Source organism: Homo sapiens, chromosome 14 (genome assembly GCF_000001405.40).
Source record: "Homo sapiens chromosome 14, GRCh38.p14 Primary Assembly".
Classification (NCBI taxonomy): Eukaryota; Metazoa; Chordata; class Mammalia; order Primates; family Hominidae; genus Homo; species Homo sapiens.
The window spans coordinates 63,884,692-63,900,283 of NC_000014.9; the positions used below are offsets into that span (position 1 = coordinate 63,884,692).

At 42.1% G+C, this 15,592-nt stretch overlaps 1 protein-coding gene across 29 annotated transcripts in view, besides 2 other annotated features; it reads left to right on the forward strand.

Moving 5' to 3' along the window:
* SYNE2 (spectrin repeat containing nuclear envelope protein 2) overlaps nt 1-15,592 on the forward strand; it is a 464,854-nt gene that overhangs the window by 123,096 nt on the left and 326,166 nt on the right. The gene's annotated exons all lie outside the window — the stretch shown is intronic.
* Nucleotides 6,312-7,019: an enhancer, noted in NCBI's record as "OCT4-NANOG-H3K27ac hESC enhancer chr14:64357721-64358428 (GRCh37/hg19 assembly coordinates)". NCBI's record gives its function as "activates a minimal SCP1, AML or CMV promoter by ChIP-STARR-seq in naive H9 embryonic stem cells {active_cell/tissue: H9 hESC(naive)}" and the evidence as "EXISTENCE:reporter gene assay evidence [ECO:0000049][PMID:30033119]".
* Nucleotides 8,730-9,254: an enhancer, noted in NCBI's record as "H3K27ac-H3K4me1 hESC enhancer chr14:64360139-64360663 (GRCh37/hg19 assembly coordinates)". NCBI's record gives its function as "activates a minimal SCP1, AML or CMV promoter by ChIP-STARR-seq in primed H9 embryonic stem cells {active_cell/tissue: H9 hESC(primed)}" and the evidence as "EXISTENCE:reporter gene assay evidence [ECO:0000049][PMID:30033119]".

Sequence of the window (15,592 nt, forward strand, 5' to 3'; positions counted from 1 at the left end):
GGCCGTGTTTGTAGGCTTAGGGCCTATGTGAGAGTGTCAAAAGACAGTGATGAAGTAGGAAGGCCCCAGATGTTGAATTTTAAATGCAGTTGATAGGAAGCCTTTGAAACATATATATATATATATTTTTAGTAGAGATGGGGTTTCACCGGGTTAGCCAGGATGGTCTCGATCTCCTGACCTTGTGATCCGCCCGCCTCGGCCTCCCAAAGTGCTGGGATTACAGGCAGGAGCCACCGCACCCGGCCGCCTTTGAAATATTTTAAGCAGAGAAGTAGCCAGAGCAATAGTTTTCAGAGCTTAATGTGGTGGATGCTGTGTTTACTGTCAAGATTCGCTTCAAAGAAAGACTCGGTGCCCAGCCTCTTGGGAGTGACCGCTTTAGCCATTGCCTCAGCTGCAGTGAACCACCTTACTCAAAGGATGGAGATGGAGGGTCCCACATCCAGGGACTAATGAGGTGGGAATAGGAAGATTGAGCCATCTAGGCCCAACTTAGGACAACTCTGAGAGCCATGTTACCTCCAGAGCTCACCATGGGGTTAGTAGAGGCGATTATTGAGCCTGCTTTGCAACTCAACTTTCTCCTCTGCTCACTCCTGCTTCCTTCTCTACTCTGCAATCTGGGCCTTTCTCACTGTCTCTCTGTGAAGTTGGCGAGGCTCTATTTGGTGTCCCTTGATGTGCTTAGGTCTGGAAATTGTTTCCAGGTGGGGAGCACAGGCAATCATGGGGCTCACGTTGTCCATTTCCCTTCTCTGAAGGATGGCACTCTTGCATTGCCTGTTGCAGCCTCAACATAATTGTTTCCTATGTTTTTTCCAATTTTCTATTGTTTACAGAAGAACATTAATTCTGGACCATTTAACTCCCAAATGGCCAGAGCTGAAGTTACTTGTTCTATTTTTAATTTCGATATATTTTTTTTGAGACAGGGTTTTGCTCTGTCACCTAGGCTGGACTGCAGTGGCGTGATCATAGCTCACTGCAGCCTCAAACTCCTGGGCTCAAGCAATCCTGCCTCAGCATCCTGAGTAAACCTGTTTTATTTTGAATATGTTCAAGTGGGAGATGTTGAGGTAGTTATGCTGCTAGCTATATACGCATTCAACAATATTCAGCTTGCATTTATTGACTACTCGCTGTGTGCCAGGTTTTCGGTTAGGTACCAGGGTCATCGAGATGAAGGACAGTAGTCCTTTCCCATGGGGAGATAATAGTCTAATGAATTCTTAATTGAAGCTGAGGGAGACAGCTCGAGAATATGTGAGCTAAATAGATGCTGATTTTCTTAATTGGACCCGGCCTTCCTCCCTCCCTCTTTTGCCAGTATGGGATCTTGTTGTTTTATAGTAGAATGATTGAGCCCTACCCCACCTGTGTTGTGCTAACACAGATAATGATACCATTTCACAGAATGAAAGTAGTTTTAACATCCTTACTGCTTGTTTTTCAAACAGCATTCAAAATGCACTGTTGGGTGGACTCACTACCTACAAAAACATACATACAGGGAAACACACAAACTTATCACCTCTGATTACTATTCTTGGCCCAGGAGTGAGGACCCTAATGTACCAACAGGAAGATGTGTGCTTAGGTAATTGAGAGCTAATGGTCCTCTTTTGGCTTTATGATCTTCAGCTAGGTAATGACTTTTTATTAGAATAATTGATTATAATTTATATAAGACAGGGTGAAATGCATGCTTTGTTGTCCACTTGTTTATTATGTGGAATTTTCTTCCTTTTTTTAAATAATAGACTTTGATTTTAAGAGGTAGGTAAAACAATGTAATTTTAAGATACATTGTGTGATTATTAAGTGCAGAGTCAATTATTAGGTGCAAAGTTTATTTACTGGATGTATATCAATTTTATATTTTGTAATTAGATGTCTCAACTGACAGAATTTATCTTGTACTTATTGGAGTAGTAGCCTTATTAATTTTGTGTTTTAAATGATATGGACTATTCATTCTCTTTTGAGATGGAGTCTTGCACTGTTGCCCAGGCTGGAGTGTGGTGGTCAAATCTCGGCTCTCTGCAACCTCTTCCTTCTGGGTTCAAGTGATTCTCCTGCCTCAGCCTCCCGAGTAGCTGGGACTACAGGTGTGCTCCATCATGCCTGGCTAATTTTTGTATTTTTAGTAGTGACAGAGTTTCACCATGTTGGCCAGGCTGGTCTCAAACTCCTGGCACCAAGTGATCTGCCTGCCTTGGCTTCCTAAAGTGTTGGGATTATAGATGTGAGCCACTGGCCATCATTCTTTAATTAGTAATGAATTTATAAAGAAAAAAAGAATTTGTGACCAGGCATGGTGGCTCATGCCTGTAATCCCAGGACTTTGGGAGGCCAAGGTGGCTAGATCACGAGGTCAAGAGATCAAGACCGTCCTGGTCAACGTGGTGAAACCCCGTCTCTACTAAAAATACAAAAATTAGCTGGGCGTAGTGGCCTGTGCCTGTAGTCCCAGCTATTGGGGAGGCTGAGGCAGGAGAGTTGCTTGAACTGGGGAGGCGGAGGTTGCAGTGAGCCGAGATCGCACCACTGCATTCCAGCTGGGCAACAGAGTGAGACTCCATCTCAAAAAAAAAAATAGAATTTGTAAAGAAACCCTAAATGTATGGAAATAATAATCATTTGGAGAAAGAAATGATGTTTTTCAATACTAAAGAGAATTTTCCCTCTAGTTTCCATACCGTCAGAGAACATCACTTAACTTTTCCGGTAGGAAGCCAGGTTTGAACTGATCCTACACCCTCTGTGGGTCCCTGGGGAAGGTGTTCAGCCTGTGGCTGTGGAAGAGAGAGCCCAGCTGATTGTCCTTCAGGAGGATCCAGAGAGGCAACCCTCACCCTGGCCTTACTGACATTGCCAGCCAGACTGAAGATTTAGCACAACCCAGAAGAGCTTAGTAACTGAACTGGAAGATATGTAACTTCTAGAGCAGCAAGGAACTGGTTTTTTTTCCCCCCCATTCCTAGTATTTGAAATATGCTTTAATATTGGTGAGATGATTGGACTTGGTGCTTTTGTGGACTACTGTGAGTCCTGCTTTTTTTTTTTTTTTTTTTTTGAGATGGAGTCTTGCTCTGTCATCTAGGCTGGAGTGCATTGGTGCCATCTTGGCTCACTACAGCTTCCGCCTCCTGGGTTCAAGTGATTCTCCTGCCTCAGCCTCCTGAGTAGCTGGGATTACAGGAATGTGCCACCATGCCCGGCTAACTTTTATATTTTTTGCAGAGATGGAATTTCACCATGTTGGCCAGGCTTGTCTTGGGTTCTTGACCTCAAGTGATCTGCCCGCCTTGGCCTCCCAAAGTACTGGGATTACAGGCATGAGCCACCGTACCTGGCCGAGTCTTGGTTTTTATAGTGTCATAAAATTACACTTATTTAGCTGGAAGGGCTTGTAGTGTCTAGCTCCACCCTTATGTTATGGATGAGAAAACTAGGGACCAAGTATGTTCAGTACGTTCTGTACAAGCTTGGGACAGAATGAGGGCCCAAACTCGGGCCTGCTAAGCCACCAGTCCAGGAGTGATTCTACGACATGGTATTGCCCCCTCATAAGACTGTTCAGCTTCCCAGACTGCACTTGGTGTGGCTTTGGGTATCCCAGGCCTGGGTGGGGGGCACCGTCCTTCACTGGCTAGCCAGCCAGCAGCTGTGTGTGCTGGTCCCTGCTTCTCTCACCATGAGCTGGGATCTTGAGGCCAGGCTTGGTTATATTCTAGCCTGGATGAGCCTGGGTCCTTGTTACTGCTGCCTATTCACCATTCCTACCCTCCTGGAAATTAGCCTCATAGTATCACTTGCCTAATTATTTTATTTAATTTGCACAGCACAGAGCTAAAGCACAGTGGTGACAATGGCCGGGAATCAAGTAAGGTGAGGTACCCTATATCCCATCTTGCTGACTACCCAGTGTAGTGCCTGGAACATACAAACTGCACATTCATACTTTTTGGGTAAATTATTGACAAGTAAAAATGAATGAAAGCTAAACAGTAACAGAACATTTTCTACCCTTTGTCTTCTTGAGATGTTTTAGGAGACTAATCCTTGTTGTTCTTTTCCAATGTAAATTTTTATGAACCATCAAGATGTAATGCAGGCATTAAGATTATTTCTGTAGAGATTAAGAACATGAAAATACTGATGCTTAATATTTAGCAGAACCAAAAAAATTGTGGTATAATTACAACTCTGTAAAAACAAAGTAGGCCGGGCGCGGTGGCACACGCCTGTAATCCCAGCACTTTGGGAGGCCGAGGTGGGTGGATTGCTTGAGCTCAGGAGTTCAACACCACCCTGGGCAACATGGTGAAAACTTGTCTCTACTAAAATACAAAAAAAAAAAAAAAAAAAAAAAAAAGGGTAAAGACCTATGATACAGACAAAAATTATCTAAAAATTCACTGGTGGCATTTGGATGGTGAAGCTATGGGTATAGTTTTTTTTTTTGTAGTTTTCTGGAACATTAAAAATTACTTTTATAAGCTCCTCTTTTATTATAGTACAAAAATCCTCTTAAATACAATGTATATTCCATTTTGTAGAAAATAAATTGAATGACAGTTCGACTTTCTGTCCTTACAGTATATCTAACTTACAGTATTTTTAAAAATCCTCTAAAAATAGCTGGATACATTTCTTAACCACTGGCTCTGTTGTGGTGGTGGTGTAGGGGAGGAAAGGGGTTAACTAGAGAGAAGCATACTAAGCATTATTATTAAAGTATAATTAATAATTCTCCTATTAAAGTATTATTTTTATTTTAAAATATTTATATTTTGGAGTTAGGGTCTTGTTCTGTTGCCCAGGCTGGAGTGCAGTGGCACAATCGTAGCTCACTTTAGCCTCAAACTCCTGAGCTCAAGGGATTCTTTTTTTTTCAGCCTCTTGAGCAGCTGGAACCACAGATGCAGGCCATGACACCAGGCTAATTATTTCTATTTTTTGTAGAGAGAGGGTCTCCCTATGTTGCCTGGGCTGGTGTGAAACCCCTGGGCTCAAGTGATCCTCCCACCTTGGCCTCCTAAAATGCTGGGATTACGGATGTGAGCCACTGTGCCCGGCCCGTACTGCAGTATTTAGTCACAGTTTTACATGACATGAGAGTCTTCAGAATGAAGGCCCAAAGACTCAGGGTGAAGTATCCATTTTTATGCTGTGGTTTGATGCATGGACAACCGTGTATTAATATGATCAGACAAAAAGGATAGAATCTAGAAGAGATAGACTGAGGGGGAAATTCATTCAAATTCTTCTTGGCCTCTCTGTGTAGTATTCCTTCCATCCAGGTATGGGGCAGGGCCCCTTTCTGGAGTGGTTGGGTCTTGTCTTTCTTTCTTTCTTTTTTTTTTTTTTTTTTTTTGAGATAGGGTCTCGCTCTGTCACCTCGGCTGTATGGAGTCCAGTGGTGTGATCTTGGCTTACTGCAGCTTCGTCCTGCTGTGCTCTGGGGTGATCCTCCCACCTCAGGCTCCCAAGTAGCTGGGACTACAGGCGTGGGCCACCATGCCTGGCTAATTTTTATATTTTTAGTAGAGACAGGGTTTCACCATGTTGGCCAGGCTGATCTCGAACTCCTGAGCTCAAGTGATCCACCTGCCTCAGCCTCCCAAAGTGCTGGGATTACAGGTGTGAGCTACTGCGCTCGGCTATTAAGGGGTTTTAGGACTCACAATCAAACAAAGTAGGCCAGAGAATGTCTTTATGGCCAGTTCTTACACAGAAAAGCAAGGGGAAGTTTGTTGTAATGTTTTTAGGTTTTATTTCTGGCTTTAGGGAAATGGGGTTCTGATTTCTATGACCCACCTTGATGAAGAGGGATTCCAGTTTCCATGGCTTGCCTCTGGAGAGAATGAGGGGAGGGAGACAGGAGGGCAGGTGGTCAGAGAGAAACTTTGCTTCTGAGGCCTTCACTTGGGAGTACAGTTTTTTGAGCCCCAACAGTAGATTAGAGGAATGGACTTGTTTTTGTGCTTGTTAATGATTTCTAATTTGACTAGGCTCACTTATCCTGGCAGCCTTCCCATCCCCAAACTACATTTGCTAGGTCCTGTCTGCCTTAATGGGGAAATCTTGAGGTTAGGAAGATTGAAATTGCTCCTTTTCCTTTTATGCCTGTTATGACAAGCTTTGCTTTTTTGGACTTCTCCAGGCAGTTAGTTATTGCTGTTCATGCTCCTCTCTGTTCCTGTCTCTAGAAAGCATTTCCCGCTTATTCATCTTTGCACCCCAGTGCCTGATATAGTGCCTGGCAAGTCGTAAGCACTCAACTGGTATTTGTTAAATGAGAATGACTGATTGCTGTCACCCCTGGAACTCTCAGCTTTTCATGAATTTGGTTTATATTTTTATAATATTTATCTCACGCCCTCATGTTAGAATAAAATTGGGATGGAAAGCCTCTAAATTAAGCAAGAAGCTCAGCAATTGTAGGGGAGGAAAAACTTCTTTCCTGTACCCTCCTAGGTTCAGTGGCTGGAGGCCCTGCCAATTAAACTGTCAAAAGAGATTAACAAGAAAAAAAACAGTTTTAATTACTTACGTAGGCATGAAAGTTCACAAAGAAATGTGGCACGAGGAGGCGGTCAGAACTTGAAGGCTTATATACCAAAGGATGACGAAGTGTAGAGAAGAGGCCAGCCATAGGAAAAGGGGAGTCACTTATGGGAAGGTGACTAGGAAATGTGTGATATACAGGGGTTGTTAGTAAGGTTTGTCTTGGAGATTAAAGTGCCTTCTTCATTGATGGGAATTGTTAAGAGACATCCCCCTTTTCCTGGTGCAGCAGAGGGGGACACTTTACAAATGGAAATTTCCTTTATACATGTAAATTTCCTTTACAAAGAGAAAAAAGGTCTGTTTTTAGAGCTTGCTTGCTGTTCTCGGTTGTCTTCAGCTCAAAATAACCTTTATGTCAAAGAGGAATATTTTGGGGTGACATTCTGGCCCCCTTTACAATCATATATGTATATATATGATTCGGGGCTGTAGTGAGACTTGGACATGACAAGACAAAACAGACCTTATCTGAAAAAGATTGCTTTTGCTAATTTCCTCTGTAAGGGAACACAGTTAAAGAGAAAGAATGGGTCCCGGCCAAGCAGCAGCTGGTGCCTCTGTTGATAAAAGCACGTGTAATTTGGGTCGGTTATAGTAGTGTGGGCCAAAAGGAAAAAGCAAATCACTCTGCCTTTGCCCATTTGTAATAATAAATTAATTTCTGCATGTGAAAGCATCCCTGCAGCTGCCACGAAAATTGGCAAATATTTTTCTCAAGAAATAGTTTGTTTCAGAAACAAACTTCTGATTTTAACAGCTAACATATTTTTGGCTGTCATAAGTGTTTGCTGCCAAACATTTCAAATTTAGAGATATTTCTTTTAAATATCTTGGGGAGACTAGTGTTTGGAATTTTAAAATAACAATCCTTCATCAGTGGGAAAATGCTACACAACAGAAACGTGTAAAAATGCTCGTGCAGTTATATTATTCAAACGCTTGACAAACATACTGTTATAATTACAGTGAGATCCTGCATGATTTTCCCCGAGCATTTCTTATCTTCTCAGAATTTTGCCAGCTGTACTTGAAACCATTTTGACCACAGCTCAGAAGGACTAGTTCAACTTTGTAAATTTCACAGTTCCTCCATTCCCCCCAACCTTTTTTTTTCCCTCAGAGCAGTTTTTTCCAGAGTAGTTTCATGTTCTTCTTGAAAACCCAAGGAAAAAAAAACATTACAAGCAGAAATTGGCATTTTTACCTTAAAATACATCCAGGAAGATATTTGAAGTCAATTCAGTTTTCCATGGCTAAGAATTCCGGTCATTTGGGGAGAAAAAAAAAATGTCAAAAATGGAAGAAAGAGAAGCAATTCAAGTGAAGATATCCAAGGAAGGAATTGCAACTTCTTTTTTGTATTCTGTGACTCATGAAGACCCGAGGTTAAAAATTATTTTTAGTATTATTTCTGTTTTTATTTGTGTGTGTGTAAAAAATAAATCCTTGGTGTACTTTCTTTTTTTTTTTTTTTTTGTTGTAGAGACAGGGGTCTCACTATGTTGCACAGGCTGGCCTTGAACTCTGGGGCTTAAGCAGTCCTCCTGCCTCAGCCTCCCAAGTAGCTGGCCTATAGGCTAGGGCTACCATGCCTGGCTGTTTTATTTATTTAGTTTTTAAATTTATTCATTCTCTTTTATTCACAAAGGATTTAAGATGATCACAACAAATACATATAAGATCAGATATTATATGTCAGTCAAGAGTAAAAACAAAACATAATACAAAGGCCAGAGAAAAACAAATACAGTGAGGGTCTACACAGTTACTAGAGTTAGACCTCAAAGTTAGCCCTGTGTTTTGGGGCAGCCAAAGTGAAAAAGGAACATTAATTATATGATTCTTATTTTTAGAAAAGAAAACAACAACAGACACCCATTCTTCATTTCTCAAAGGAAATGAAGTATTTTCTAGCACTAAATTCTTTAAAAAAAAAGAAAAAGAAAAAAATTTAATAGAAGGGCTTCCTACACGGAGAAGCTGAAGGTTATAGAAATGGTGTCCTTGGCCAGGTGCGGTGGCTCGCACTTTTAATCGTAGCCGTTTGGGAGGCCAAAGCAGTCGGATCACTTGAGTCCGGGAGCTCGAGACCAGCCTGGGCAACATTGTGAGACCTATTTTTTTGTCACTACAAAAAAAATTAAGAAATTAGCTGGGCGTGGTGGCACACGCCTGTAGTCCCATCTACTCAGGAGGCTGAGGTGGATCACTTGAGCCTGGGAGGTTGAGGCTGCAGTAAGGTAAGATCGTGCCACTGTACTCCAGCCTGGGCAATAGAGCAAGTCCCTGTCTCAAAAAAAGAGAAACTTTCTTCAACAACATTGCTCAAGTTATTAATTTATTCTTTTTAAAAATCTTTTCTCAAACATCTATTATGTAGCAACTATATGGCATACACTATGCTACATAATAAAGATAAAACAGCAAGCAAAACAGCCCTTCTCACAGGACTAGAATCTGGAATCTGAAGAATCTGTTTCACAGGGCCAGGGTAGGCTCAGTGTGGAGAGTCTAAGGAGTGTGTTTCTCCTTGTTAGCTGGCCAAGCTAAACATTCAGGATGTACAGCCTCTAAGTGATGCAAGGATGTCCGTAGTATACTCCAGCTTAAAATGCCTGGAAGGGTCTAACGAGCTAGGCGATGGGAGTCAAGGCTCCAGCCAGCTTGGCTGGGATGCAGGGCTGAGATTATTCCTGGAGTAGGGAGCAGAGATGAGTGATCTGTTAGTTACTCAGTTACTTCTTTGGGGAAAAAGGCCAGTTCACCTCGAGCCAAGTTACCCAATGACAGACTGACCTAATTATTTGTTTCTTTTCAGTTCTATTTTAAAAGTTTAAACAGTTTGTATAAGATAAGATGGTTTTAACAGCTTTTTGAAGATGCATGTGATGTTTAAGATGGACTTTTTCTTTTTAATGTGCTGGCATTTTATGGATTTTTTTTTTTTTTTTGAGACAGGGCATTGTTCCTGTGCCCAGGCTGGAATGCAGTGGATGTGATCATAGGATCATAGCTCACTGCAGCCCTAATTAAGCTCCTGGGCTCAAACTGTCCTCCTGCCTCAGCGTCTTGAGCAGCTAGGACTATAGGCATGCTCCACCATGCCCTGCTAATTAAAAACAATTTTTTTTTCTAGAAATGGCATTTTGCTATGTTGCCCAGGCTGGTCTTGAACTCCTGGCCTCAGGGGATCCTCCTGCCGTGGCCTCCAAAGTGCTGGGATTGCAGGTGTGAGCCACTGCATCCGGCCATTATAAAATAACATGTGTTTGCATTGCTGGAACGGGAGTGTGCTGGGGCAGAGGTAGATAAAAATACACTGCAGAGCCTGGACTGCTGTTCTCCCAGAGAGGAGATTGAGGGGCAGAATGAGGGAATGGAGGGAAGGCAGAATAAGTATATTCACCAGGAGTATAATCATTACAAATATATTCTTTGATGTAAAGTGTCCTTAGGAATATATTTTTATTATGAATAATAATTCATTATGGCCCTCACTACGTTCTCTCTCTCCATTACTCTGTTCCATACTACCCTAGAAACATTGTTAATCTGTTGCTTGTAGGCAAGACTCTGTTGATTCAGGCTTTCTATGGGACTCCGGCTATTGGTGATACACGTTTAGTTCAAGAGTGATGGGACATAAATCTGGCAGAAATGATAGTAGGTCACAAAGTCATTCCTGTGTTTTCCGTAGGGATGCTTTAGCATGTTGTCTACAAATTAGGCCTCTTCCTAGAGCTTACAGCTGGGATCTAGCTGTCTTCAAGTGATATGGCATTGAGAAATATTAAGATAATCTCATTTATTGAAAGCACATAAATTTCCATTTTCTTTTCTTTTTTTTTTTTTTGAGATGAAGTCTCTCTCTGTTGCCTAGGTGGTGTGCAGTGGCATGATCTTGGCTCACTGCAACCTCCGCCTCCTGGGTTCAAGTGATTCTCCTGCCTCAGCCTCCAGAGTAGCTGGGACTACAGGCGCCCGCCACCACCCCTGGCTAATTTTTTTTTTTTTATTTTTAGTAGAGACAGGGTTTCACCATATTGGCCAGGCTGGTCTTGAACTCCTGACCTTGTGATCTGCCTGCCTTGGCCTCCCAAAGTGCTGGGATTACAGGCGTGAGCCACTGCACCTGGCCAAATTTCCATTTTCTACTACCAATTTTTTCTTTCTCACCAATGAATAACAATTTACATTTGTGGCCCAGGAAGGGTGGTTCACACCTGTAATCCTAGCACTTTGGAGGCCAAAGTGCATGGGTCACTTAAGCCTGGGAGTTTGAGACCAGCCTGGGCAACATGGCAAGATCCTGTCTCTATCAAAAAAAAAAAAAAAAAAAAATTCAGAAATTAGCTGGGCAGGTGGTGTGTGCCTATTGTCCCAGGTACTCAAGAGGCTGAGGTGGGAGGATGGCTTGAGTCCAGGAGGCAAAGGTGGCAGTGAGTTGAAATTGTGCACTGTACTCCAGCCTGGGTGACAGAGTGAGACCCTGTCTCCAAATCTCCAAAAAAAAAAAAAAAAAAAACCTAGAAAAAATTTACATTTTTGTAATTTCATTACAAAATTTCATTACAATTTTGTAATTTCAACATGCTACATACTAAATGAGATAATCATCTTGTCCTTACAGAAAGTCTGTGACTTAATTTATTTATATCCTCTCTTATTCCAGGGAAAAGTTTGAAGCACTTTATAGAGAAACATAAAATTCTATAGAAGAAAAAATAGATGAGGACATTGGAATGAAGGAAAAATAGGGATAGGTGGATGTAGACAGTGGTAAAGCAACTTATTTTCTATAAAGTCATTTGTAGTTGCTAGAGATCGGCTGTAGCAGCCAAAAAAGGGAGGGAAACCTTGTTTATAAAAATAACATGTTCATTAAATTAAAAGAATAGATGCCTAGGATCACAGTTTTTCTTGGTACTGAGACCTGAGAGAATTTTCCATAGCATGTTCTCATAAAAGGAACACTGGTTTATGGGCTGTGTACTCCCGAACTCCTGTAGAAAGAGTACAATGGTAGGTTTCTCTTGACTTTTTCCTATCATATCCTGCATAGTAAGGCTTGTGGGATCACACTGAAATACATTTTAATAAAAGCAGTTCTCTGAAGGGGTAGAACAATGCAGTTCAGGTTCATGGCTCCCTGGCAGCTGGACAGGATCCAAAGACAACATCCAGGAATGGGTGGACTCTGTTTCAGGCATTCCTCTATGAATATTGTTTCTTGTAATCCAGTGTTTGTAAATGCGTGGCGGAGAACTTTGGGTTAGATTCCTTGGCAGGAATCTGAAAGTCTGAATGTTGGCCTGGACAAAATCATTACCCTCATTTAACAGATGAAGAAACAGGACCTTGGAGAAGCTGATGATTGCCCAAGGCCGAGTGGTCAGTGGAGAAGCTGGGACTACAGCCGAGTTCTCCTGACTCTAAGTCTAGTGCTCTTTCAGCCATTTCCTCTCATTTCTCTAACTTACATAGAATTCTGTTAAAATTTTAAAGAGTTAATAATGACTATTTTAAACATTGATAATGGACTCCCTACTTAGATGTTTAACTAAGTAAACTATATAGCTGAAGTCTGTCCTCCCAGTCCTTTGCCCTCCACTCTGTGAAGTGGTGGGTATCCTGCCTTAGCATGTTTTTGTTCTTTTACTGTATATGTGTTCATGCGTGTGTTTAAAATGTATATAAATGGCCTGGCGCAGTGGCTCACACCTGTAATTCCAGCACTTTGGGAGGCCAAGGCAGGCAGATCACCTGTCATCAGGAGTTTGAGACCAGCCTGGCCAACATGGTGAAACCTTGTCTCTACCAAAAAATACAAAATTTAGCCAGGCATGGTGGTGCATACCTGTAATTTCAGCTACTTGGGAGGCTGAGGCAGGAGAATTGCTTGAACCCGGGAGGTGGAGATTGCAGTGAGCTGAGCTTGTGCCACTGCACTCCAGCCTGGGCGACAGAGTGAGACCCTATCTCTAAATAAATAAATAAATAAATAAATAAATTTACATAAAGGACATATGACTTCATAGCATGTCTATCCTTTGTGCTGGCTCGTTTCCCCACCTTTGTAGTTCTGATATCTATCCATGCTGATATTGGCTGTTCATTCATTTTAGCTGTGAATAGTCTTCACTTCTGCATGAATCAGCGACAGTTTATCTGTTTCTCTGCTGACAGTATTAGATTATTTCCACTTTTTTCCTTACAAACAGTTCTACCCTGATTATTCTTGAATGTGTCTCCTTGTGTATACATGCACTTTTACAGGATTTTTTAGTTGGCAGAAATGAGCATCAGGCAGATGTGAGAACATCTTTGCTGAGCCCTCCTGGGCCAACCTTGGACCCAGCATGCCATTTGGGTTCATTCGCAGCCGGTGCTGTTCTGGCCTCAGTGGGCCTTCAGCTGCCCTCACAATCCTTGTATGCTTCTTTGGTTGGTTGGTTTGTGTTCTTAACTGGCCTGTTCCAAGCATTGTTTATTCCTCAAGGACCCCACACCACCCATGCTCCCCCTGCTCCTGCTCCCAGGAGATGACCTCAGCTCTTATTTTCCTGAGAAAAATGAAGTCAGATGATGAGAGCTCCGTTCATTCTTCTCTACTTCAAAATTTCTCAGCATTCCTACCCAGAGGAACAGCGAGCATGTTTTGCAAACCACAAATTCTTCATGGAATGCATGGAGGAATACATTTTTTAAAAAAGTTTCTGAGATCCCAAATTGGAACTTTGTCTTATCATGAGCTGCTTTATGTTCAAAGCCACTCATTGAAATCTCTCTGAACACAGCCGCCAGCTCTTCTAGTGTATTTCCTAATGTATGCAAACCGTAATCATTCTTCAGCCTCACTGAGACAGCAGTCTGTACACTCTCTCATTTCATGGGTTCACTCCTGCCTGTAGTCACATCCCTCCTTCCCATGTAATCTTCCCCACAGCTTGCACCCCAAACCTCCCTCTCAGAGCCCTCCCTTTTCCTGCCTCAATCTGCTGCATCACTATCGTCCTGGGAACGTCCCTTTATTTCTTCTGTATTCAATGCCCAGTCCCTGTTTTTCTCACTTTTAGTTTAGTGTTCTATTTTGTTGGCATACTTTCGTTCATCTTGTTTTACCTTATTTTGTTGGTATAGTTTTATTTTTTTTTGAGACAGAGTTTCGCCATTGCCCAGGCTGGAGTGCTGTGTTGCCATCTTGGCCCACTGCAGTCTCTGCCTCCCTGGCTCAAGCGATCCACCCGCCACAGCCACCCGAGTAGCTGGGACTACAGGCGCATGCCACCGCACCTGGTTAATTTTTGTTTTTTTTTGTAGAGACGGGGTTTTGCTAGTTGCCCAGGCTGGTCTCGAACTCCTGGCCTCAAGCGATTCGCCCACCTTGGCCTCCCAGAGTGCTGAGATTACAGGCATGAATCACTGCACCTGGCCCTCACCAGTAGCTTTCTAAGAACAAGTGTTTAGGACATACATTTTTTTTGAGCTTTGTGTGTGAGGAAATTACTTTTTTCTACCCTAACACTTGATTCGTACTTTAGCTGGATATAAATTATAGGTTGAAAAGTTTTCTTTTAAAACTTTGTTCAATATACATATAACATAAAGTTTATCATCCTAACCATTTTTAAGTGGTATTAATTGCTGCTGGTGGATTCACATTGTTGTGTAACCATCACCACCATCCATTTCCAGAACTCTTTTCATTTTGTGAAACTGAAACTATATATTCATTAAACAATTAAAAGTTAATTAAAATAGTTAACTCTCCATTCCCTGGCAGCACCATTCTACTGTCTGTCTCTATAAAGTTTGATGACTGTAGGTACCTTATGTAAGTGGAATCAGACAGCATTTGTGGAAAATTTTCTGATTATGTGTTGATTTCACATTTGTGAATGTCAGGTTTTTTAGCTTTGGAAGTTTTCATCCTTAAGTTTTTTTTTTTTGAGATGGTGTCTTGCTCCGTGTGTGTAAGTGGAGTGCAGTGTCACGATCTCAGCTTACTGCAACCTCCGCCTCCTGGGTTCAAGCAATTCTTCTGTCTCAACCTCCCAAGTAGCTGGGACTATAGGCGCCTGCCACCACACCCAGCTAATTTTTGTATTTTTAGTAGAGACAGGGTTTCACCTTGTTGGCCAGGCTGGTCTTGAACTCCTGACCTCAGGTGATCCACCTGCCTTGGCCTCCCAAAGTGCTGGGATTACAGGCATGAGTCACTGTGCCTGGCCCTGTTTGTTAGTTTTTTTGAGACAGGGTCTTGCTCTGTCACCCAGGCTGGAGTGCCGTGGCGCAATCATGGCTTATTGCAGCCTTGACCTCCTGGGCTCGGGTGATCCTCCTGCCTCAGCCTCCCAAGTAGCTGGGACTACAGGCACACACCACCATGCCTAGCTAATTTTTGTATTTTTTGTAAAGATGGGGTTTTACCATGTTGCCTAGGCTGGTCTAGAACACCTGGTCTCAAGTGATCCTCTTGCCTTGGCTTCCCACAGTGCTGGGATTACAGGCGTGAGCCACTGTGCCTGAGTGTTTTCACTCTTTGTTCTAGTATGGTGACTAGCTTTTAATTTTTACTGCTGATTAAGAAATAGGATAATCCCTATAAATGTATTTCACAGATTATAATAAATACCATTTATATACTGTGTAGTATATTTCTTAATAGTATTTAATAAATGTTAATTGTTGTCATTTTTAGTTTCATGAGTGTTTTCCTTGAATTCCAGCAACCACCTTAAACAAGAAGTATTATTCCCATTCTACAGCAGTGGATACTGAAGTTCAGAGCATCTGGGACTAGGTCAGGGCCAGCGGAAGGCTCTTTTAGGGAAGTGGCTACATTTCCTCAGGATGTTCTGATCATGGGTTAAGTGGGTGGTTTCTCACCACAGTTGGTATTGGTTGGTGACACTGCTTTGTTGTGAGATTGCAAGCCCAGTGGCATCATGATTTGAGAATTGCTACATTTTTGTTTTCCAAAAGTGTAATGCATAGATAGGTGTATTAGTTT